This window comes from Homo sapiens, chromosome 10 (genome assembly GCF_000001405.40).
Source record: "Homo sapiens chromosome 10, GRCh38.p14 Primary Assembly".
Lineage (NCBI taxonomy): Eukaryota > Metazoa > Chordata > Mammalia > Primates > Hominidae > Homo > Homo sapiens.
In genome coordinates, this window is record NC_000010.11 from 102696662 (window position 1) to 102720677 (window position 24016).

Consider the following 24016-nt stretch of genomic DNA (forward strand, 5'->3'; position numbering starts at 1 on the left):
ACAAAGAATCTGCTGATAGATCAGATGAGGGGAGTGAGGAGAGGGAGCCAAGGATGATTGCATTGTTTCCGGAGGAATGGGACTCCCATTTACTGAGAAGACTGTGGGAAGAGTAGGGTTGAGTAGAACAGGATGAAAACAGGAATTTGGTTTTAGACATGTTGAGGCTGAGGGACTTACCAGCCGCTGAAGTGGAGATGTCAAATAGGCAGCTGGCTTATATAGTCATGTGTTGCTTAATGACAGGGGCATGTTCTGAGAAATGCATTATTAGGCAATTCTGACATGGTGCCAACATCATACAGTGTACTTACACACACCTAGATGGTCTACTGCACACCTAGGCTGTATGGCATAGCCTATTGCCCCAGGCTACAAACCTGTACACGAAGTTACTGTATCGAATACTGCAGGCAACTGTAAAACAATGGTAAGTATTTATGGATCTAAACATATAAAAGGTAATGTGTTATGACAGCTATGTCACTAGGTAATATAAATTTTTCAGCTTTATTATAATTTTTTTTTTTTTTTGAGAAAGAGAGTCTCGCTGTGTTGCCCAGGCTGGAGTGCAGTGGCGCAATCTTGGCTCACCGCAATCTCCACCTCCTGGGTTCAAGCAATTCTCTTCCTCAGCCTCCTGAGTAGCTGGGATTACAGGCATCCACCACCATGCCCAGCTAATTTTCATATTTTTAGTAGAGATGCAGTTTCACCATCTTGGCCAGGCTAGTCTTGAATTCCTGACCTCGTGATCCACCTGCCTTGGCCTCCCAAAGTGCTGGGATTACAGGCGTGAGCCGCTGCGCCCGGCAGCTCTATTATAATCTTAAGGGACCACTATCATTTATGAGGTCAGTCACTGACCCAAGTGTCATTATGTGGCACATGACTGTATATGAAACTCAAGTTCAGGGGAGAATTCCAGGCTAGAGATGATAGTTTGAGATTCATAAGCATCTAAGTGGTCATTAAATCCTTCAAATTAGACGAGGTCACCTAAGCAGTGACTCAGAGAAGAAAAACACAAGGACTCCGGGGCTCTCTAACATTTGGAGGTTGGGAGATTAAAAAAAAATAGCAATGGAGATTTAGGAGGAGTAGCCAGTGAGGAGGAAAACCAAGATAGAATGGTGTCTTGGAAGCCAAGAAAAGACAATGTTTCAAAGAGAGCATGACCAATGTTAAATGGCCTGATAGGTCAAGTGAGATGAGTACTGAAAACTGAACCCTACTTTTAGCAATGTGGAATTATCAGTGACCCTGAAAAGAAGGCTCAAGAGTAACTAGGAGGAGATAAAGCAAAGACAGAGAGCATAACAAACTCTTTCAAGGAGTTTTGCTATAAAGGGAGGCTGAGGAATGGGACAGTATTGGAGGGGGATGTATGGTCAGGAGGAGTTTTCTGGGGCTTATTTTTTCTTCATTAAGCAAGAGAAGCTACAGGATATGTTTATGTTGATGGGAATGATCCAGAGGAGAGAGACACTTAGGAAACAACAGCAGAAGGTGAAGCTGTTTGAGATGCAAGATGATTTCTTTTTTTTTTTCTTGTCTTGAGACAGAGTATCACTCTGTCTTCCAGGCTGGAGTGTGGTGGCCTGATCTCAATCTGGGCTCACTGCAACCTCCGCCTCCTGGGCTCAAGCGATCCTCCCACCTCAGCCACCCCAAACTGCTGAGATTACAGGCATGAGCCACCACACCTGGTCTAGATGATTTCTATTCGTAATAAAGACATAGATATGGCTGCTATTATTGCAGTTTATTGCCTTTCATCATAATTGATGTAAACGCAAACTTTTGGTTAGAGGTTAGTAAAAGCGACATGCAATTTTTCTCCCATCTAAGTTCATGAGCCCCCCTAGTTTTAGGGTATGATTATGCAAGTATGTGGCTGAGGTAGAGTAGATGACAAGACCATTGAAGGAGGGCTGGTGAAGGAACTGAGAGGCTGAGGTTTTGTGGAAATCATGTAAGTGGACAGTGAAATCTCCAAGAATTCTGAAACTGTGATGGTCCTAAAGGAAGTGACAGCGAGCTGGGAGCTAAAATCTCGGCCTCCACTTGAATGAACGCTCCCTGAGTCAGGGTATTCCCAATGCACGAGGCAGCTTCTCCTACTACTGGACGATTGTAATTATAGGAAACTTCTTCCTTAATCTGAATTACATTCTACCACCTAACATTCCCCATCTTGCTCTTGGCTCAGCCCTCTAGAACTATTCAATCCCTCTGACTTAAGATAATTCTTGAAGCAGCCTAGACAGTTCCCAGTGTTCTCTTTTCCAGGAATAACATTCTCAGGTCTTTCAACCACTCCTTACACATCATGGTTTCCAGTACTTTCACTATTTTGCTTGCTCTCTTTGCAATACACTTGATTCGTTGTCTTCCTAGGGGTGACAGTCAGTGGCATGATCTTCTGACTTCCCTTCTGCTATTCAAATCACTATGGCAATTAATAACACTTTATTTTGCCAAGATGGGTGTGGGTACAACATTGTTACTGAGCGACAGCAAAACATCTTATACAAGTTATACAAAGATGTTTTTCCTTTATAATCTGTAGCCTTCTGCTATCCCTGCTAAATTCACAGTGATTAATGTTATGGTGGTGGAATTACTGACAAGAAAGAATGTTACAGTGTCCATGTTTCTAACACATGGCAGAAAATACTATGAATTAGTGCGTCAGAAGGAGTACTTACAAGAATATCGGTATTTTCAAAATAATTCTTCCAGTATGGTCTGATTTTCCTCTGTCCACCAATGTCCCATACATTCAGTTTAAAACCTTGTGATTGTACACTTTTGATGTTGAAACCCTGAAACAGGGACAAAAACATCAAGTTTTATTAAACTTTGGGATCATAATTCTGACAAAGTTACATTTAATAGCTATGTTTTTTATTAATTCTAAAGTACTCTGCCATATGTGATACTGGTAATGCTGAAAATGATTTGTTGTGACAGAGAATACAGAAACATATTTATACATGCTTGTTTCATCCAGGTTGTGGAGTCAGTGTTAATAATGTCAGGCTAACACAATGTTTTTCTACAATGAACATATATACATATATAATTACTGAGGATAACTCCAAATGAGAATAGCTCTAATTAACCAACACACATCACATGCCCATGAATCTTCAGGATGGTAAAATTTAACAGGACATTTCATGTAACTAACAACAAAAAAAAAGCTGAATCTGAAGACTCAACAGGAAAGAACACAAGCTAAATTTAAAGAGGCAAAAGCTACAAATCTAGAGGATTAGATTCTTCAAGAGCAGCTCAAAATAAATTTCCTACAGGGATTAATCAGGAAAAAGAGCAGAACTGAGGATGCTATGGGGGAGGCTGGGTTTGTAACTCGAATATATCAGCCCAGTAGGGAGGTGGAGCCCTCAGTTGCAGACACTGATGGAAACAAACAAGTGGTCAGTTAAAATTGTGCTTTCAGGCTGGGTGCGTAGCTCACGCCTGTAATCCCAGCACTCTGGGAGGCCGAGGCGGATGGATCAGGAGGTCAGGAGTTCGAGATCAGCCTGGTCAATATGGTGAAACACCGTCTCTACTAAAAATACAAAAATTAGCCAGGCGTGTTGGCGCATGCCTGGAGTCCCAGCTACTCAGGATGCCGAGGCAAGAGAATCACTTGAACCCTGGAGGCAGAGGTTGCAGTGAGCTGAGATCATGCCACTGCACTCTGGCCTGGGCGACAGAGTGAGATTCCATCTCAAAAAAAAAAAAAGTGCTTTCATAGGGAACTATGATGAACTTGAACTTGAAAAGGAAGTCTTCATTTTTTTTTTGAGACAGAGTCTCGCTCTGTTGCCCAGACTGGAGTGCAGTGGCATGGTCTTGGCTCACTGCAACCTCCGCCTCCCAAGTTCGAGTGATTCTCCTGCCTCAGCCTCCCGAGTAGCTGGAATTACAGGCGCCTGCCACCACACCCGGCTAATTTTTTGTATTTTTAGTAGAGACAGGGTTTCACCATATTGGTCAGGCTGGTCTCAAACTCCTGACCTCATGATCCGCCCACCTTGGCCTTCCAAAGCACTGGGATTACAGGCATGCGCCACTGTGCCCAGCCGGAAGTCTTTTTTTTTTTTTTTTTTTTGCAGAGTTGTGCTCTCGGCTCACCGCAACCTCCACCTCCCGGATTCAAGCGATTATCCTGCCTCAGCCTCCCGAGTAGCTGGGATTACAGGCATGCGCCACCATGCCTGGCTAATTTTGTATTTTTAGTAGAGATGGGGTTTCTCCATGTTGGTCAGGCTGGTCTTGAACTCCCGACCTCAGGTGATCCGCCCGCCTCAGCCTCCCAAAGTGCTGGGATTACAGGTGTGAGCCACTGCACCGGGCTGGAAGTCTTCATTTTTAAGACAGTTACTTGAGGTGAAACTTTGAGGAAGGTGAGCAAATCAGGGACAGGCAGAATTGCCAGGTGGGGGTCAGTGTGGAAAGAAACAAATTAACAAGCCCTTTGGGGTTCCCAGAGAATGTATTGCATGAACAAGAATTTTTTTTAAAGTCTTCTTGCAAAAATTACATAGGGAAACCAGGATTTGAAAAACCCAGTCAACAGCTTGCTACCACAGAAGAGACATTTCATCCAGAATAACTGGAGTTAGATAGCTTTGGGGATGCCTCCACAAACATTTGTTTCATGTGGTAGCCTGTCAACACTGCTGCCTGGCACAGAAGGAGAAGGCACAGTGCAATAGGACAGGAATATTGCCACCCAATTTCCACTGCGGATACACAGTCTCTGGAGGATAACTGGGGATCCTGCTGACTCTCACTTCTCTAACACGCCAATGACTGAATACATTAGAAGTTCGAGAATTCTAAAGGGAAATGGCTTAAGCTTATTGAAAAAAGTTTCATTGTGACTCACTGGCAAAACTACTTTAGTGTATTTAAAAATTCCACACTCAACAATGATATTAAATGTCAAACTCAGTAATACTGAATCCTTTCTGGAATAAAGCAGAAAATAAATAACAGTAAATCTTGGAATACAAGTAACAGTGAATCTTGGAATTTGACCATATGTATCAATGGGCTTAAACAGCTATAAGTCATGAGACCCAACAAATCTAGGAATTTATTCTGAGGAAATAATAATGATGAATGGGCAAAAACATTTAGAGATGTATATTACATAAGTATTTACATATATAATAACATAGAAAGATGTTCATGATCTATTATTAAGTGAACAAGAGGAGACAGGTTCAGTGGCTCACACCCATAATCCCAATTTTGGGAGACTGAGGCGGGAGGACTGCTTGAGCCCAGGAGTTCAAGGCCAGCCTGGGCAATGTAGTGAGACCCCATCTCTACCAAAAAAAAAAAAAAAAAAAAATTAGCTGGGTGTGGTGGCACATGCCTGCAGTCCTAACTACTCAGGAGCCTGAGGTGGGAAGATTGCTTGAACCCAGGAATTTGAGGCTGCAGTGAGCTATGGATGGTGCCACTGTACTCCAGCCTGGCCGACAGAGTGAAACCCCGTCTCTAAAAAAAATCTATATCTAGATATAGATGATACAAGCTAGTATATCCTCTATGAGCCATTTTTATTTTTTATTTTAAATATACCCATCATATATATGCATAGAAAAAAACTTGATACATTCCTAAATGTGAACAGTGGTATGTCTGACTGGGCATTATAGGTGACTTTTAGTTTCTCAATTGTATTTATTTATACTTCCTAAATTTACTACAATGAGCATTTATTACTTTTTCTAATATAAAACAAAAAACATAATAAAAGTTTGTTTTTAAAGAATATGAAACCTTGACACAATATAATATCAGAGTTACCTATAACACATCAAACAAAGCCTGAAGGTTAGAATGAGAACTTTGGGTTCCTAACTTTGAGTTTATTTCTGTGTTTGCAGTGTGGAAGTCTTCACGTTAGTGTTCTTGAGAGACACAGTTTATTGCTAATACTAAAAAAACAAAAACAAAAACAAAAAAACCCCACAAGCGCATGCACACAAAAACTAGTGCTTCTTTTTCTGGCAGAAATCTTGACACACTAATATGTGTTTTCAGCCCTTCTAGGCTAGATTACTGTAATTTGCTTGGGCTATACATTAAATTTGTTCAGAAGCTGTAAAAATTGTTCATTTGGTAGCAGTTGAAATGACTTTTCCATAAAGAGTTGTGAATCAGTAAGACTCATGGGCCGTGAAGTATGCATGCACACCAGCACAGCCATTCAAACCTGACACCAGGGTCTTATCACGGTACAGTGATGGAAAATAACTCTGGTTTTGCTAAAACCTCTAACCTTTAATGCTCAAACACTTTAAAGTGACTAAGACCAACAAGCTCTCCCTGTTGGCTTAGCCAAAGGTCAGGCATTCTTAGGATTTCCTACAGGGAATGAGTTCTAAGAAACCCACTACAGTTTTTCCAATCAGGTCTTGTCTTTTTTTTTTTTTTTTTTTTTTGAGACGGAGTCTCACTCTGTCGCCAGGCTGGAGTGCAATGGCACAATCTCAGCTCACTGTAATCTCCGCCTCCCAAGTTCAAGCCATTCTCCTGCCTCAGTCTCCTGAGTAGCTGGGATAACAGGTGCACACCACCACATCCAGCTAATTTTTGTATTTTTAGTAGAGACAGGATTTCACCATGTTGTCCAGGATGGTCTCCATGTCCTGACCTCATGATCCACCCACCTCGGCCTCCCAAAGTGCTGGGATTACAGGCATGAGCCATGGTGCCCAGGACTTGTCTTTTTTTTTTTTTTTTTTTTTTTTTTTTTTTTTTTTGTGATGGAGTCTCGCTCTGTCGCCCAGGCTGGAGTGCAGTGGCATGATCTCGGCTCACTGCAAGCTCCACCTCCTGGGTTCACGCCATTCTCCTGCCTCAGCCTCCCAAGTAGCTGGGACTACAGGTGCCCACTGCCACGCCCAGCCAATTTTTTGTATTTTTAGTAGAGACGGGGTTTCACCATGTTAGCCAGGATGGTCTCGATCTCCTGACCTTGTGATCCGCCCACCTCGGCCTCCCAAAGTGCTGGGATTATGGGCATGAGCCACCACGCCCGGCCCAGGACTCATCTTTAAACCTCCACGCTGTGAGCACTATCATTCCCTTATCCTTTATGCTTTGCTTGCTTGCCCTTTTCAGGAAAGAGGAAGGTTGATGAGACTGGATTTAAAAAGGCAGGTAATTGGCCGGGCAAGGTGGTTCACGCCTGTAATCCTAGCACTTTGGGAGGCCGAGGCAGGTGGACTGCCTGAGCTCAGGAGTTCGAGACCAGCCTGGGCAACAACGGTGAAACCCTGTCTCTACTAAAATACAACAAATTAGCCAGGCGTGGTGGCGTGCACCTGTAGTCCCAGCTACTTGGGAGGCTGAGGCAGGAGAATCACTTGAACCCAGGAGGCGCAGGTTGCAGTGAGCTGAGATTGCACTGCTGCATTCCAGCCTGGGAAACAGAACGAGACTCTGTCTCCAAAAAAAAAAAAAAAAAAAAAAAGGCAGGTAATTTTTTTTTCTTTTAAAAATTGATACATATTTGTATTTATTAAGTCTGAAAAGTACACGGTAAAATATTAACCATGGTTTTTCTCAGAGTTTTCTCCTTTATACTTTCTCTGTGTTTTCTACATGCACTACTTTCATAATCAGAGAAGATAAAGCTATTTTTTAAAAAAGAATAGGCTGGGTGTGGTGGCTCACACCTGTAATCCCAGCACTTTGGGAGGCTGGGGTGGGTGGATCATTGAGGTCTGGAGTTTGAGACCAGCCTGGCCAACATGGCAAAACCCTGGCTCTACAAAAAAATACAAAAATTAGCGGGCCATGGCGGTGTGCGCCTGTAATCCCAGCTACTAGGGAGGCTGAGGTCCAAGAATCGCTTGAACCTGGGAGGCGGAGGTTGCAGTGAGCCAAGATTGCACTACCACACTTCAGCCTGTGTGACAAAGCAAGACTGTGTCTCAAAAAATAAATAATTTAAAGAAATAAAATAAAAATAAAAAGAATATAGGTACTCAGATCTGCTGGATTTGTCTATATACACACAAACACACACATGTGTATATATGTATACATATATTTTAAATTGTAACATAACACGTACAATATGCAGCTGCTGAGGACATGTGCGGGTGGGGAAGGTGGGGCAGAGACGGAAGAGGGGTGCATGTGCTGAAAGGTGCTGTGTGGAGGCTGAAGCCCAGTGGGATGCAGATGCTGCAGTGGGGTGGCCTGATGAAGTGGGTACTGTGAAGTGTGTCTGCGTACACATTTTAACGTTATAACATAAAACGTACCATTTCAGCCATTTTAAAGTGTACAGTTCCATGGCATTAAATACATTCACACTGTGGGCCGTTACCCACAGAACTCTTTCCATCTTGCAAAACTGACTCACTGTACCCGTTAAACAATAACTCCCCATTCCCCCTCCCCAGCTCCAGTAACCACCATTCTGCATTCTGTCTCTATGAATCTGACTACTCTAAATACCTCATGAGAATGGAATCTCTTACATATTTTTGAAATCTGGTTATCTTTAGATTGTATAGACTTTTCTCAGAGACAAAACTTGGAAGTGGACAAAACTGTATTTCCCATTTTGTCTTTCACATTGCTATTATCGTCTTCCTGTGTCACACGGCATCTGGAGCCAAGGCAGTGCTCACCTGTGTAGGTGTGATGTGGCTGATGTCTTCAGATGCAAGCTGCTTCAGAAGAGTGGTCTTGCCAGCATTATCCAAGCCCAGGAGAAGTATTCTCACCTCCTGGTCTGGTGCACTTTTCAACTTGCGCAAAATTGAGAGCAAGCCCTTCAACAACCACAAAGGAGACAGATTACTCTGGGGGCACTGACTGTGATATTAACTGGATATGAGAATAACTTCTCCTTGAAAAAAGTTATTGGTTATGGAGAGCTTATGTTATTATTTTTCATTCTAATGCCACTTATTCCATTTGCTTCCTCTTTCCAAGTTTCGGTAGAAGTGCTACAGTAAATTCAGCAACTTAATAAGTAGCAGGGCTTATTTCTGCTCCTCCAATCAATCTAGCTTAGCAGTCACCCCAAATCTCCTGGGAGTGTGAACTCTACCCCATCTGTGTTCCTAAAGCCCTTTACATACACTTAGAGCAGAACATTCATCATATCAAACTAGGTAACTGATGTTTGTATTTTTCTCCTTTACTAAAGTTTCTCGTGGTAAGGGCTATACTTGTCCCATAATGCCTGGCACTTATCAAACAGACACTAGATAACACTTGTGGAATTAAATAGGATGACACACCCAAGTTAACACACGATTTTAAGGTGTTATACAAAAATATATAAAAAGGCTATATAAAATTATAGTTGGGCTTCCTGTTAATGATTTTATCTATTTCATCATTTCACATTGCATGCCTGTATCAAAACATCTCATGTACCCTATAAATATATAACACCATGGACCCACAAAAATTAAAAGGAAAAAATTTTTAAAAAAGATTTTATCGCCGGGCACGGTGGCTCACATCTGTAATCCCAGCACTTTGGGAGGCCAAGGTGGGCGGATCACGAGGTCAGGAGATCGAGACCATCCTGGCTAACACGGTGAAACCCTGTCTCTACAAAAAATATAAAAAATTAGTCGGGCGTGGTGGCAGGCGCTTTGTAGTCCCACCTACTCGAAATGCTGAGGCAGGAGAATCGCTTGAACCTGGGAGGCGGAGGTTGCAGTGAGCCGATATTGCACACTGCACTCCAGCCTGGGTGACAGAGCAAGACTCCGTCTCAAAAAAAAAGATTTTATCTATTTCAGCACATCTTCAAGACTTCTTCATTCAAAATGTTCTACTATCATCTTTCACAAGACCCTACAGGATAGGTGCATGGTATAGATAATCTGTGTTTTTTAGATGAAAAATTTGGTACAACAGAGAAGTTAAGAAATCATAAAAGGCATCCATGAAGCAAAACAAAACAAAACAAAACAAAAACCCACCAAAATTAACCAAGGAATTTTTTACTGTTAATCTAATATTTCCCTCTGTCACCCAGGCTGGAGTGCAGTGGTGCAATCTCGGCTCAACTACAACCTCTGTCTCCTGGGTTCAAGCAATTCTTGTGCCTCAGCCTCCAGAGTAGCTGGTATTACAGGCATGTGCCACCATGCCTAGCTAATTTTTATATTTTTAGTAGAGATGGGGTTTCGCCATGTTAGCCAGGCTGGTCTTGAACTCCTGGCCTCCAGCGATCAGCCCACCTTGGCCTCCCAAAGTGCTGGGATTACAGGCCATGAGCCACCTCTCCTGGCCATTATTTATTATTTTTTATGGATAGAAATATAAAGCATGTTGCTGGGCATGGTGGCTCACGCCTATAATCCCAGCACTTTGGGAGGCCAAGGCAGGAGGGCTGCTTGAGCCCAGGAGTTCAAGACCAGCCCTGGCAACATAGTGAGACCCTGTCCCTACAAAAAATAAAAAACAAATAAGCCAGGCATGGTGGCGCAGGCCTGTGGTCCCAGCTACTCAGGAAGCTGAGGTGAGAGAATTGCTAGAGCCTGGGAGGTCGAGATTGCAGTAAGCTGTATTTGTACCACTGCACTCCAGCCTGGGTGACAGAGTGAGACTCTGTCTCAAAAAGAAAAAAAAAGAAAAAAGAAAAAGAAAACAAAGAAAAAATAAATAAACCATGTTGATTTTTAGTTAAGAACATAAGAACATCTTTATAGGAAAGTTATTTGTTCTGTGCTATAGCTGATAATCTTGTTCTAACGACACATGGCTAGAACAAGAGTCAAAGAATCCCAGAGTTTAAAGGGCATATAATTTAATCTCCCAGCCCAAGAAGAAATTCCTTCAAACTGAGTCTTAGAATTATGCAAAATGGTTGTATTTGTTATTCACATTGTACCAGGCAATAATTCAAACCAGTTTGTTCACTAAGATCAAAGGATACTTCTGAGAAATAATTCTCAACAACTGCATCTTTGGACAATCATACGCAAATATGCATAATTATTAAGAATTCCTTTCTGCCTCAGAGACTCTTTGTTTACCACTTCTAGTACTGTATCTGTACTGACTTGCTAAGGACCACATTAACCTTTCTATGCCTCAATTTTTTCCAGCAGTAAGATGGAAGGTTTAGTCTAAGCTAGACAAATTCTATGCCAAAAGATTTGGGGGACAGAGATTGAATAGATTGGAAACAAACAGAAGTCTGGCTTTTTAAAAGGCCAGACTTTTTTTTCCTTTTTCTTTTTTTTGGGGGGACAGGGTCTTCCTCTGTGGCCTAGGCTGGAATGTAGTGGCGTGAACACGGCTAACTGCAGCTTCGACTCCCTGGGCTCAAGCGATCCTCCCACCTCAGCCTCTCCAGTAGCTGGGACTACCGGCTCACACCACCACGCCCCACTAAGTTTTGTATTTTTTGTAGAGATGGGGTTTTGCCATGTTGCCCAGGCTGGTCTTGAACTCCTAAGCTCAAGCGATCCACCCAAAGGCAAGATTTTTTTTTTTGCTGTTTTTATCTCATCTGGTCTTGAATACTTTGACAGCATTCCTTCTTAAAACTATATTTACAAGAAGTCTCCCTGGTTTCTATTAGCTATATTGCAATCACTCATTTATAATATCACCTTTCAGAAAAGTAAAAATTAAAATTCTGAGATCCTTAGGGGACTGGTGACATAAAAAGGCTAAGAGGAAAACCCATTTTACTACTCATCCTGAGTTCCTGATTGTAAGTGAAAAGAAGAGGTCTCATTACCTCTTAAAATAAATTATAAAACATCTGGAATTTATCAAATTAGTACATTAAATGACACAGGCAAAGTTCTTCTCATGCATTTTCTGCTTAGTGCAGAAATTATGAAGGAAGATCTGTTTCCTATTTTAAAAAAAATTTTTTTTGGCCGGGTGTGGTGGCTCACACCTGTAATTCCAGCACTTTGGGAGGCCGAGGTGGGTGGATCACTTGAGGTCAGGAGTTCGAGACCAGCCTGGCCAACATGGCGAAATCCCGTATCTACTAAAAATACAAAATTAGCCGGGTATGGTGGCACATGCCTGTAATCCCAGCTACTTGGGAAGCTGAGGCAGGAGAATTGCTTAAACCCAGGAGGTAGAGGTTGCAGTGAGCCAAGATCATGCCTCTGCACTCCAGCCTGGACAACAAAAGTGAAACTCCATCTCAAAACAAAAACAAAAAATAAAACCATATATTATATATATATATATATATATATTTTTTTTTTTTTTGAGACAAGGTCTCACTCCTAATGCCAGGCTGGAGTACAGTGGTGAAATCATGGTTCACTACAGCTTCAGCCTCCCAGGCTCAGGTGATCCTTCCACCTCAGCCTCCGGAGTAGCTGGGACTATAGATGTGTACAACCGCACCCAGCTAATTTTGTGTATTTTTAGTAGAGACAGGGTTTCACTATGTTGCCCAAGCTAGTCTCAAACTCCTGGCCTTAGGCAATCTGCCCGTGACGGCCTCCCAAAGTGCTGGGATTACAAGAGTGAGCCACTGCACCCGGCCTATAAAATATTTTCAAAGTTTAAAATTAATGTTTTGGGTTTTTCCTCATGTGTCTCTTTTAAAGAAGTTACTAAAAATACTGTTTTTTTTTTCAGGCAGAGACTTGCTCCACACTCATTACATTTGATATTAAAGAATTAAGAGAAAAACAAGGCCAGGCACAGTGGTTCACACCTGTAATACCAGTGCTTTGGGAGGCTGAGGCAGGAGGATAGCTCAAGGCCAGGAATTCAAGATCAGCCTGGGCAACAAACACGAGACACATATCCCTACCAAAAAAAAAAAAAAAAAATTATCCAGGTGTGGTGGTGTGCACCTGCGGTTCCAGCTACTCAGGAGGCTGAGACAGAAGGATGGCTTGAGCCCAAGAGTTTGAGGCTGCAGTGAACTATGGTCGGGCCACTGCATTATGGGCTAGGTGACAGAGCAAGACTCTGTCTCAAAAAAAAAAAAAAAAAAAAAGAGACAAACATAATGTTTATTCACCTTAAAAGGAGAGGAGCAAAGCACAGATAAGAAAGAAAAAGAAATCATTCTAACTATAAGGCTGAGTGCAGTGGCTCATGCCTGTAATCCCAGCACTTCGGGAGGCTGAGGCTGGCGGATCATTTGAGGCCAGGAGTTTGAGACCAACCTGGCCAACATGGTGAAACCCTGCCTCTACTAAAAATACAAAAAATTGGCCAGGCATGGTGGTGGGCACCTATATTCCCAGCTACTTGGGAGGCTGAGGCAGGAGAATCGCTTGAACCTGCGAGGTGGAGGTTGCAGTGAGCCGAGATCACACCAGTGTACTCCAGCCTGGGCCACAGAGCTAGACTGTTTCAAAAAAAAAAAAAATTCTAACTATAGATAAACTTTATTAACCTAATGGTGTAGAATACAGTGCTTCTACATTTCTAATGAGTAATTTTCCTTATTAGGAAATAATAACTTCAGATACTTCACCTTTGAGTGAAATTACAGAGAAATGCAAAGTTCAGCTAATGTTTTCTTCCAGCAAAATGATAAATGGCATTTCAAGCATGGTCTAGGGAAGACAAGTGCAAATATAATACAGCATCATATTAATCCAACTACTGAGGATGGGATCACAGGATTATCAGGGTTTGCTAAATAGGGAAGAGGATATTTATAGAGATCAGGGTTCTGCCTGAAAGGTACAAAGTAAGCTGATTTAAGAGGCTGGATGAAAGAGACCAGAATAAGTCTATTCTGTGCATCTATACATATATGCCCATATTTTATTTTAACTGTCAAATGAAGGGAGACAGCGATTAGAAGTTAAATTTATCATAGGGCTGAGTTTTGCAGTATAAATACAATGACATTAATTTTTAAAGTGCATTTTTTGGCCAAAATATCCATTCACGCAATTATCATTAAACACCCTTAATGTGCCCCAAGTACAACAGTGAGCAAAACGGGCATGATCTCTATGTAGGATTTATATTCCTGTGACATTAAATAAAACAATTTAAGAAACATGAACTTCAGTTAAAAGTATATTGTGTGTTACCAGCATGTGTGTATACAAGTTATCTACACCCTGGTGGGCAGAAGTGGTCTGACTCAACCACAAAACATTTAAACAAACTTTTCTACAGTCAAATCATGAATAGATGTGCTATGGACTACAGACGTTTTATCTGCCTCGAAATCAGCTTAAACTACTGGCAGAGGCATGGTGCCCTGACCTAAAACAATACAAACTAGGTCATTCAAAGAAACCAGAGTGGTGGAGGGAGAAGGAATGCGTTGGTATATGGAAAATATATGTGGTTGTGAGGACCAGCTAAAATTTGAATTCTGAAATTACGAAGCCAACAGTCAAGTACATACGGTCCCCATAACTAGCTTAAATATAACTGACTTCCATTTGTTTTTACGTCTTTCAACTGAACTCCTATCAGCTTAAAGCTCAAAATTGAGAACTTAATCCAAACTGTGTCTTCTTTCTCATCACCCTCTCCTAAATAAATACAAACAATGTTTCCTAAGGAACAAAGTCTGAGCATCTCCTCAGGAAGAGTGGGTTCCCACTTCACCAGAGTCCTAATGAAATGAATGTTATGGGCTTTAGAATTTCACAGACTTGTATTCAGCTTCTGTGTGTGTGTGTGTGTGTGTGTATATATATATATATATGTATGTATATGTATCTGTATATATATATGTATATATATGTATGTGTGTGTGTGTTTTTATATATATATATGTATATACATAACACTGCACACAGTTTCAGCTAGAAAATAGGAACAGGCCGGGCGCGGTGGCTCACGCCTGTAATCCCGGCACTTTGGGAGGCCGAGGCGGGCGGATCACGAGGTCAGGAGATACAGACCATCCTGGCTAACATGGTGAAACCCCGTCTCTACTAAAAACACACACACACAAAATTAGCCGGGCGTGGTGGCGGGCGCCCATAGTCCCATCTGCTGCGGAGGCTAAGGCAGGAGAATGGCGTGAACCCGGGAGGCGGAGCTTGCAGTGAACGGAGATCGCGCCACTGCACTCCAGTCTGGGTGACAGAGCAAGACTCCGTCTCAAAAAAAGAAAAAAAAAAGAAGAAAACAGGAACAATACTTACATCTCAAGAGATGATGCTATGAGGATGAAATGAGGTCATGTATGTAAAGCATGACACATAACAGCCACTGAAAAGACTACCCTCGTGTTTTGTTTATTTTTTTAAAATAATTTTTCACGGGCCATTTTCTAACCAGAAAACATAAGTAACTGTTGGGAACAATCTTCAAATGTTGAACATGCTTGAGAACGACCACAAGCTCCATATATGTAGAAAGTGCTCCATAAATAATTACTGAATGAAGGAATCATATGTTAAATATAAGTGGTTAGTTACGTGCTAAAATTACTGTCATTTTAGTATTTTAGTAATTCATCAAGAACCTGGCACTGTAAAGCAGGGGTAAAATAGCTGACTCTAAATGTTCAGAGAAACCCATATTTGGGTTTTTGCCACAGTTACCCAAATTTGAAAAAAAATATGTATTTGTCACAGCTGAAGTTTAAAACAAAAACCAAAAAAACCTTGGGGTTCACGCTTCAGTTGTACAGTTAACCATGGGGGCTCATGGGATACCAGATGGGATACACTTAAGTCACACGACTGACTAAATTCAGTGTTTCACTTCAAGTTTTAAGAACAGCTCACGCTTGTGGAGATAGAAAAAAAATGTTTTTGGGAAACCAGATAAAGAATCCGGAATAATTTGTCTTAATTTCTTATTGTTCATCTTAGGAAAAAGGAAAAAAGAAAAACAAAATCTGTTTTCATCATTGAACACAACAGTTGTATACAACAGTGTTGTATATACACTGTAAATTTGTTGTATACTGTGCCAATTTGCACCTGGAAACATGGGCAGTGGTTAATTTACTGTGGCCTGTAATTATAAATTAAACAATCATGGATTACACAGTACACTTAATTGATCAACAAACTGGGAAAAGTTAGCCAACTCTCATGCACTTCTCATCCATAATGATGAATCTCAATCTCTGTTGGTTCGGCATGCCCTTTTCATTCCAATTCTAGCTATTTTCTGGGTAAATATTTATGTTTGTACTCATTTGTTGAGAAAAACTTTAACTTTAAAAGGACAGCTCACGTATAAATGATTAAGAAAAAGAAACAGTTGTAAAAATCTGTTTAGCCTGAGGTTAAAAAAAAACTGCAAGTGTAGCAAGTGTGAAATGTGATTGGCAACTTCAGATCAAATAACCCTACTTCTTTAACAATCTGACAATGTAAAATCAATTGAGTTTTTTTTTTCCTTTCTAAATCTACTCACTGGATAATCTGACCAAACATACATCTATTTTTTTTTTTCCTGGGCATCTAGTTTTTTTGTTTTTTTTTTTACTTCTTAAATCAACAGAAATGGCTCAACATTTCTAAAAGTCAAGAAAGGAACTAGGAAGAGAGTTGGAGCAGTGACTATAAGTTTGATGACAGGCTCTTTGCAGCCAACTAACCTGCTTTAAGTGTTCAAAATCAATTTTTCTTTGATAGCTCTAAAATTACTCAATTCCATTTTAACTCCCTCCAACTAACTGTACAGACATTAACAAGAAACAGAGTGTCAACGGTCAGATCTGTCACAACCATAATTTAGAATTTGGGAAAGCTTTAATTGGGACTGACAGAGAAAAGCCTTGCCCCGGATTGAAGTTCGATCTCCATTTTTAACTTCTCGTTCTTTTCAGTTTGGAGAACTCAAGCTAGGATTAAGATCTTTTGGTCCTGGTATGGTCACACGCAAGAGGAGACTGCAAAAGGTTTCGAAGGAAATTCTAGAGACGGAGCAGCTAATATGTCTTCATCAACATGGATTATGTATTGAATGAAAAATCGGTCATCACCAACAATCAGATCCTGCAAAACTCTCAGCAAATAACTAAATAATTCGGGACTGAGGAAGCGCACCCGCCACGCAGACACCAAGACGGCGTAAAATCCACCAGGCATCCCTTCCAAGCGGCACCCCTTTGTGTCGTGGGACTTACTTCCCTACCCCCCAGGGGCCCGCACAGCGCGAGAAGGAGGAGAGCTAGGCTACCATCTCCCCTGCTACCGCCAGGGCGACCTCAGAGCCAATGGGGCCGGCCTTCTCTCCGCTTCTGGCCGGGCTCCAGACGAACCCCACTTTACTGCAAAGCCGCGAGACCGATTGCCCGGGAAGTCTAAGCCTGCTAGCGAAAGCTGCTCTCCGCAGTTCCTGGGATCCGCCCTCACCCCTGTCCCCAGAGTAATGATGGAGCCCGGGCTCCGCACCCGGCCAGCCGCGCACTCTGCCAGCCCCTTCCCCAAGCCTCGGACCCGCTGCAAGCCCCGCCTTCCTCTCCAGGCCCAGGCCTCCCTCCAGGGCCCACCCTCGGGTCTCCCCGCCGACCCCCGAAATCAGTCCACAACCCAGATAGCAGGCTGAGCGACGTCCCATTCCCTCCTTGGCTTTAAGCGCAGTGCTCCGCCCTGGGCCTGGGGACGGGAGGGGGATAACCGGCCGGCTCCAAGGGGGCCCAGGCCCCCACACTCACCATCCTCCCGCCGAGTCCCTCCTCCTCCTCCTCCTCCTGCTGCCTCCCCCGTTACCAGGGGCAACTGCTGCGGCGCCGCCCCCGACGTCCCTCGCACGCACAGCTGAGGAGCTGAGCAGCAATACGGGGCGGGGTGCAGCTCCGCTTTCCCCAGAGTGCGCAAGTGCGCTAAGGCGCCCGCCCACGCAGTGGGCGGGCTACGGGAGCTGCAGAGGCCGCCGCCGGCTCGCCTGGACCAGGGAGTGGAGAAAGCCTGCCCACGTGGCTGGCGGGAGCCTCCCGGCCTGGGATTGGTCGAAAAGGAGGGGCGTGGGGCGGGCGTGGGGGCAGTTCCCCAGCCCAGGTCCTCCTCTCACCCGGGCCAGTTTTCAAGGCGGGCTGTAACTGGTGGCATTTGTCCCGGGACCAGGTAAGGGGCCTTGGGACAATGGCGCTCGCCCTGTCTACCTCCAATCCCCACATCTCGGGTGGGTGCTGAGATTGCTGTCCTGACTGCCCAGGCGGGGCTGCAGCGCGGGCTGGACTTCCACCTGCAGAAGCCACGTGGCGCGAAGTGCGCCCTGGGGCTGCAGATGGGCCCCTCTGCTCTGACCCCCATTGCCTAGGAGTGCCAGGCCGAGCGGCTGGGGCGTTACGAGCTGTCCGGGATGGGGGAGTACCGATGGGGGGAGGCCGTCTGTCGGAGGGCAAGAAGCAGCCTGGGGGCTGGCCCTGAGCCCTGAGGTGAGCTGAAAGCACAGGTGAAAGGCGTTTTGGGGATCGGCCCGGTTTTTGTTTTGACACAGGGTGTCGCTCTGTCGCCCGGGCCGGAGTGCGGTGGCGCGATCTCGGCTCACTGCAGCCTTTGCCTCACAGGCTTAAGCGATTCTCCCGCCTCAGACTCTCGAGTAGCTGGGATTGCAGGCGGGCGCCACCACGCCTGGATAATTTTTTGTATTTTGTTTTTGTAGAGACGGAGTTTCGCCATGTTGCCCAGGCTGGGCTCGAACTCCTGGGGTCAAGCCATCCGCCCGCCTAGGCCTCCCAAAGTGCTGAGACTACAGGTGTTCCAAAGTGGTGAGCCACTGTGCCCAGCCTCTGGCCGGTTTTGCTAAGCTGCTTTGGACAGGACCGCGTACCATCTGTAGTCCTGGAGGAGGCAAAAATGAGCCTGCATTTTTAGCCAAGGAAGAGCAAGTGGGACACTGGGGTGGGTTGGGAAGTGCTACCTCCCATCCCTTTCCCGATGCAGAGGACTATAAGAAGAGTTTACACAAACGTGCTAGGCCCTGTTCTAGACGCTGGAGACACAGCAGTGGACAAAATCAGCCCGTATGGAAATTACATCCTTCCTAATGAAATACATTTCATACCAAATTTCATTTTCACAACCCCTAGAAATTGGTAATTGCGGCCAGGCGCAGTGGCTCATGCCTATAATCCCAGCACTTTGAGAGGTGGAAGGGGAGGAAGGCTTGAGCCCAGGAGTTGGAGACCAGCCCGGGCAACACAGTAGGACCCTGCCTCTACAAAAAAAAATTTTTTTTAATTAGCCAGGTTCCGTGGCGCACTTGTAGTCCTAGCTACTCGGGAGGTTGAGGCTGGAGGATTGCTTGAGCCCAGGAGCTATTATCACATCACTGTACTCCAGCCTGGGTGAAAGAGCAAGACCCTGCCTCAAAAAAAAAAAAAAAAATGAAAACAAAAATCAACATCTGCTGCTTGCATACCTGCTTCAGATCCTTGGAGAGAAAAAGCAGTTCAGAGCCTTGACTAAGGAGGTGATGAATGGAGGTGATACAGGAGCACAAACCCCTATAATCTACTCATCTCCAGACTGTTGGCCCTTTTGTGAAAAAGGCAAGGGAGGTTGCTCTTTCTAAGTTGTCTGGTGCCTAACAGCCCACTTGCCTTGGAGTCAGACGAGTACCCATAAGCCTATACCTGGGCCTGCTCTTGTAATTATTACCCTCATTTTCCAGCTTGCTCTAGGCAGCCTTGACCTTAATCCTTGCCTGTCTCAGTGGTCTTTGTGTCTGACCTTCTGGGGTCTTTGGCTACCTTGATCTTCCTCTGATGTGAGTACCAGCGATGATGTTTCGTTTTTCTCCCTACCTGGGGCTACAAACAGTAATCTTGTGCACTTCTGCTTGTAAGAGGATACCTCAGAAGGAATTTGGAAGCTTGTTTTCTGATCTCTGATACCATTTGCCAGAGAAAATCTGCTCTTTCTGGGAAGGATGAGCATTACGTCAGAGGTGGCAGTAGTCTATTACTTTTTTTTTCTCTTTGTTTCCCTCTCTTTCTTTCCTTTTTTTTTTTTTTTTTTTTTTTGAGATGGAGTTTCACTCTTATTGCCCAGGCTGGAGTGCAACGGTGCGATCTCGGCTCATCACAACCTCCACCTCTCGGGTTCAAACGATTCTCCTGCCTTAGCCTCCCAAGTAGCTGGGATTACAGGTATGCACCACCACGCCTGGCTAATTTTTTATTTTTAGTAGAGACGGGGGTTTCTCCATGTTGGTCAGGCTGGTCTTGAACTCTCAACCTCAGGTGATCTCTCTGCTTTGGGCTCTCAAAGTGTTGGGATTACAGGTGTGAGCCACCGTGCCAGGCCTCGGAGTTGGCAAGTAGGCTATAGTGGATAGAGGACCTTGGGGAAGTAAGGCCTTAGCTGTTGTCCAATCTTTGAGGACTGGATCTGTTGATTGTTCGTGTTTATATCTGCTGCAAGCGCTTAGTGCAGGGCCAAGTGTATCAAAAATGCCCACTGTGGTGGCCCAATCCATGTGCACCTTTCTAGGCTTCAGTTTCCTCTTCTGTAAACTGAGATCTTAGATCACATGTCTTCAGGCTATGACATTCTCTCTCTCTTTTTTTTTTTTTTTTTTTTTTGTGGAGACGGAGTCTCGCTCTGTCACCCAGACTGGAGTGCAGTGGTGCGATCTTGGCTCACTACAACCTCCGCCTCCCGGGTTCAAGCGATCCTCCTTCCTCAGCTTCCTGAGTAGCTAGGATTACAGGTGCGTGCCACCACGCCTGGCTAATTTTTTGTATTTTTAGTAGAGACAGAGTTTCACAGGGTTAGCCAGGATGGTCTCGATCTGACCTCGTGATCCGTCCGCCTCGGCCTCCTAAATTGCTGGGATTACAGGCGTGAGCCACTGCGCCCGGCCTCAAGCTGTGACATTCTCTAATCCTAGGAGGGAGATATCATTAAATCACTGGTCTGATTTTTACTCCTACTTTGTTCCTAGTAGTGGGACCATACAGAAGTGGGGCTACCCTGGACATGATGATGACCTTTTTAGGGAAGACTAGATGTGGCTTGTGTGGGAGGAGGGACAGTAACTGTAGAAGAAAATTTAGAGACCAGTATGACTTAGTACAGGCAAGGTAGACAGTTTTGCAACTTCATGAAAGAAAGCGTGCTCTTAATTCTGTAACCTAGGCAGGTTCTAAGTTTGACTTAAAAGAGGTGACATCCTTGATGCCAAGAGACCCAAGAAGAAGTTGGAATGCATTTCAGGTAAGCAGTAAATATTCTTCGAGGGCATGTGAAACATGTAGCAGTAAACATCACAGACATGATCCCGATGCTTGTGAGCCTTACAGTCTGTCAGGGGAGGCAGACTTTACACAAATCACAGTCAATGACAAGAAGGTGACAATCACAAACGCCCAGCATGCTGCAAAGGACAGGATGCTGTAGGAGTATATATCACAGAAGGATTTGAGTTTGTCCTGAAGGAGTCGGGGAAGAGTGCCCATTGGGGGACAGTGGGTGTGTGGGGGGAAATGTTCCAGACAGATCGTTTAGTGTTTTTTTTGTTTTGTTTTTGTTTTGGCTTTATGTTTTATTTAAGACAGGGACTCTGCAGTTTCTATCCTGACTTCAATTAAGAAGGCAAAGGCTCTTGCATAATTAGCAAATGTTTAGATTACCCCTTGATGATAGTCCCTCCATTCTGAGAAGCAGAGGACTTTGCAATGTTGTGTTAAGGTGAACAGAGATGTCAGAGAAGGTCTGGCTCTGTGTGTATGTGTGTGCTGAGGGGGAGGCATAGCATTTTGCTCAGTCAGGCTGTCTCCAGCATGTATGAGCCTGGGGCTCTGTAAGCCAAGGCAGCGTGTGTTCAGCCAGCCAAGCTGACTCCTTTTAGGTTCATGTAGAGCATGGGAAAGTGAACTCTTTCCCCTCCTCCCACTCTTGCTTCAGCTGGGACTGAGATAAATGCCTTTGGTCTTTGAAGCAGCCTGCAGGAGGCCAGGTGGCAGGGAGAGGGGAAGTCTGTTTTGGCAGTGGACTCTTTCTGTCTGCCTTCTGACTTCTCTGGAGATTGCCGCTTCAGAGAAGCATCGGGGCCAGGCCAGGGCGCTGTGGATACTCCATATTGAGCCTCTCCTCTTGTTCCTGGTCTTTCCTCTTAGGAAATGGCGTACCTCCAGCATATCAGCTTCCTGATGTCTCTTCCGCCTTAACGAAAAATCTAAAAATTGACCACTGCTCTTCCTTCCCCAACACTGTCCCTTCTGCCTCCTTTCTTGAACTTGAACTCCTGGCCTCCCAAAGTGCTGGGATTACAGGCCTGTGCCTGTCTCCACCTCCTTTCTCTCTTCTTTCTGGTGGTTCTTCCCATCTTTGGGGGCTTCCTTTTCTCGGCTTCTTTTTTTTTTTTTTTTTTTTTTTTGAGACAGGGTCTTGCTATGTTGCCAAGATGGAGTGCAGTGGCGCCATCTCGGCTCGCTGCAACCTTCACCTCCCGGGTTCAAGTGATTCTCCTGCCTCAGCCTCCCAAGTAGCTGGGATTACAGGCGCCTGCCACCACGCCCGGCTAATTTTTTGTATTTTTAGTAGAGACAGGGTTTCACCATGTTAGCCAGGCTGGTCTCAAACTCCTGACCTCGTGATCCGCCCGCCTCAGCCTTCCAAAGCACTGGGGTTACAGGCATGAGCCACCGTGCCCGGCCTCAGCTTCTTTTTTTTTGAGACAGAGTCTCACTCTGTTGCCCAGGCTGGAGTACAGTGGCACAATCTCGGCTCACTGCAACCTCCGCCTCCTGGGTTCAATCAATTCTTGTGCCTCAGCCTCCTGAATAGCTAGGATGATAGGTGCCTGCCACCACGCCCAGCTAATTTTTGTATTTTTTTTTTTTATTAGAGATGGGGTTTCACCATCTTGGCCAGCCTGGTCTCAAACCCCTGACCTCAGGTGATCCACCCGCCTCGGCCTCCCAAAGTGCTGGGATTACAGGTGTGAGCCACTGTGCCCGGCCTTGGCTTCTTAAATGTCCTGATTTTTCAGGGTTTGTCCTCAGCTCTCTCCTCTTCCCATTCTGTGTGTTCTCACTGGAAAACTTTATCGTAAATCACCTCGATGCTGCTGACTCAGTTTTTTCCTTCTAGCTCTGACCTCTGTTTCCTTTCAAGCCTGAATACCCACAGGCTGATGAACTTCTTATTCAGCAAATACTTGAATATTGTGCTAGGCACTGGGGTGACAGTCGTGAGCAAAATGAACATACCACCTCACTTCACAGGTGAATTATTTAACTTAGCTAAGGTGCTATTTCCAAGAAAAAAACAAAATGACCTAGTAGTAGAAGCTATAGAAGTAAATCTGAAAATTATTTGTACAAAAAAATAAAAGGACAAATAGGTACTATTTAGTGAAGAGAGGAAAGACTAGCTTTTGAGTATTGTGTTTGGAAAGGACCTGAGACAGGAAGAGGCCTATTGCATTTAAGAAAATCCCGGCCGGGCTTGGTGGCTCACGCCTGTAATCCCAACACTTGGGGAGGCCGACGCGGGTAATGGGTCACGAGGTCAGGAGATCGAGACCATCCTGGCTAACACGGTGAAACCGCGTCTCTACTAAAAATACAAACAATTAGCTGGGTGTGGTGGCACGCACCTGTAATCCCAGCTACTCAGGAGGCTGAGGCAGGAGAATTGCTTGAACCCAGGAGGTGGACGTTGCAGTGAGCCGAGATCGCACCACTGCACTCCAGTCTGGGTGACAGAGCAAGACTCCCTCTCAAAAAAAAAAAAAAAAAAAAAAAAAACCCATGGCAGGACCGGGGCTGGTAGCTCACTCCTGTAATCCCAGCACTTTGGGAGGCTGAGGCAGGTAGATCCCTTGAGCTCAGGAGTTGAGACCAGCCTAGCAACATAGGGAGACCCTGTCTCTACAAAAAATACAAAAACTAGCCGGGCATGTTGGCACATGCCTGTGGTCCCAGCTACTTGAGAGGCTAAGGTCAGAGGATCGTTTGAGCCTGGGAGGTGGAGGCTGGAGTAGTGAGCCATGATCATACCACTGTACTCCCACCTGGGCAACAGAGCAAGACCCTGTCTCAAAAAAAAAAAAAAATCCCATGGTATTTGAAACTTAACATGCAGAAATCAAGCTTACTATTAATATT

General features: G+C 44.4%; 2 protein-coding genes across 14 annotated transcripts in view, besides 7 other annotated features; one reads left to right on the forward strand and one right to left on the reverse strand.

Moving 5' to 3' along the window:
- Positions 1-17736, reverse strand: part of ARL3 (ARF like GTPase 3) — a 40667-nt gene extending 22931 nt beyond the window's left edge. The window contains exons 1-3 of one of the 2 annotated variants that reach the window (NM_004311.4): positions 17612-17736; positions 8685-8828; positions 2712-2828 (exon numbers count right to left, since the gene is read on the reverse strand). In NM_004311.4, the coding sequence (NP_004302.1) occupies positions 2712-2828; positions 8685-8828; positions 17612-17614 (264 nt within the window). In that variant the 5' untranslated portion in view covers positions 17615-17736. Of the gene's footprint in view, positions 1-2711; positions 2829-8684; positions 8829-17133; positions 17501-17611 lie in introns of those variants that run through there. The other variant, XM_017016260.2, reaches the window with a different exon arrangement.
- Positions 17396-17495: a silencer, noted in NCBI's record as "silent region_2770". NCBI's record gives its function as "represses an Ori minimal core promoter by ATAC-STARR-seq in GM12878 lymphoblastoid cells {active_cell/tissue: GM12878}" and the evidence as "EXISTENCE:reporter gene assay evidence [ECO:0000049][PMID:35858748]".
- Positions 17536-17585: a silencer, noted in NCBI's record as "silent region_2771". NCBI's record gives its function as "represses an Ori minimal core promoter by ATAC-STARR-seq in GM12878 lymphoblastoid cells {active_cell/tissue: GM12878}" and the evidence as "EXISTENCE:reporter gene assay evidence [ECO:0000049][PMID:35858748]".
- Positions 17653-18047: a silencer, noted in NCBI's record as "fragment chr10:104474071-104474465 (GRCh37/hg19 assembly coordinates)". NCBI's record gives its function as "represses an EF-1alpha promoter that drives an FKBP-Casp9 reporter gene in an ReSE screen in K562 erythroleukemia cells {active_cell/tissue: K562}" and the evidence as "EXISTENCE:reporter gene assay evidence [ECO:0000049][PMID:32094911]".
- Positions 17653-18377: a biological region, named in NCBI's record as "H3K27ac hESC enhancer GRCh37_chr10:104474219-104474795".
- Positions 17801-18377: an enhancer, noted in NCBI's record as "H3K27ac hESC enhancer chr10:104474219-104474795 (GRCh37/hg19 assembly coordinates)". NCBI's record gives its function as "activates a minimal SCP1, AML or CMV promoter by ChIP-STARR-seq in naive and primed H9 embryonic stem cells {active_cell/tissue: H9 hESC(naive and primed)}" and the evidence as "EXISTENCE:reporter gene assay evidence [ECO:0000049][PMID:30033119]".
- Positions 17866-18015: a silencer, noted in NCBI's record as "silent region_2772". NCBI's record gives its function as "represses an Ori minimal core promoter by ATAC-STARR-seq in GM12878 lymphoblastoid cells {active_cell/tissue: GM12878}" and the evidence as "EXISTENCE:reporter gene assay evidence [ECO:0000049][PMID:35858748]".
- SFXN2 (sideroflexin 2) overlaps positions 17975-24016 on the forward strand; it is a 28857-nt gene continuing 22815 nt past the window's right edge. For 7 of the 12 annotated variants that reach the window (NR_146992.2, XR_007061941.1, XR_007061942.1 and 4 more), the window contains exon 1: positions 17975-18020. Coding sequence is in view for 4 of the 12 variants with exons in the window: in XM_047424568.1 (XP_047280524.1) it covers positions 21109-21119 (11 nt within the window). In the remaining 8 variants the exon portion in view is untranslated. Of the gene's footprint in view, positions 18021-19572; positions 19669-19952; positions 20051-20774; positions 21120-24016 lie in introns of those variants that run through there. The other 5 variants (XM_047424568.1, XM_047424569.1, XM_011539261.3 and 2 more) reach the window with 5 other exon arrangements.
- Positions 18378-18953: an enhancer, noted in NCBI's record as "H3K27ac hESC enhancer chr10:104474796-104475371 (GRCh37/hg19 assembly coordinates)". NCBI's record gives its function as "activates a minimal SCP1, AML or CMV promoter by ChIP-STARR-seq in naive H9 embryonic stem cells {active_cell/tissue: H9 hESC(naive)}" and the evidence as "EXISTENCE:reporter gene assay evidence [ECO:0000049][PMID:30033119]".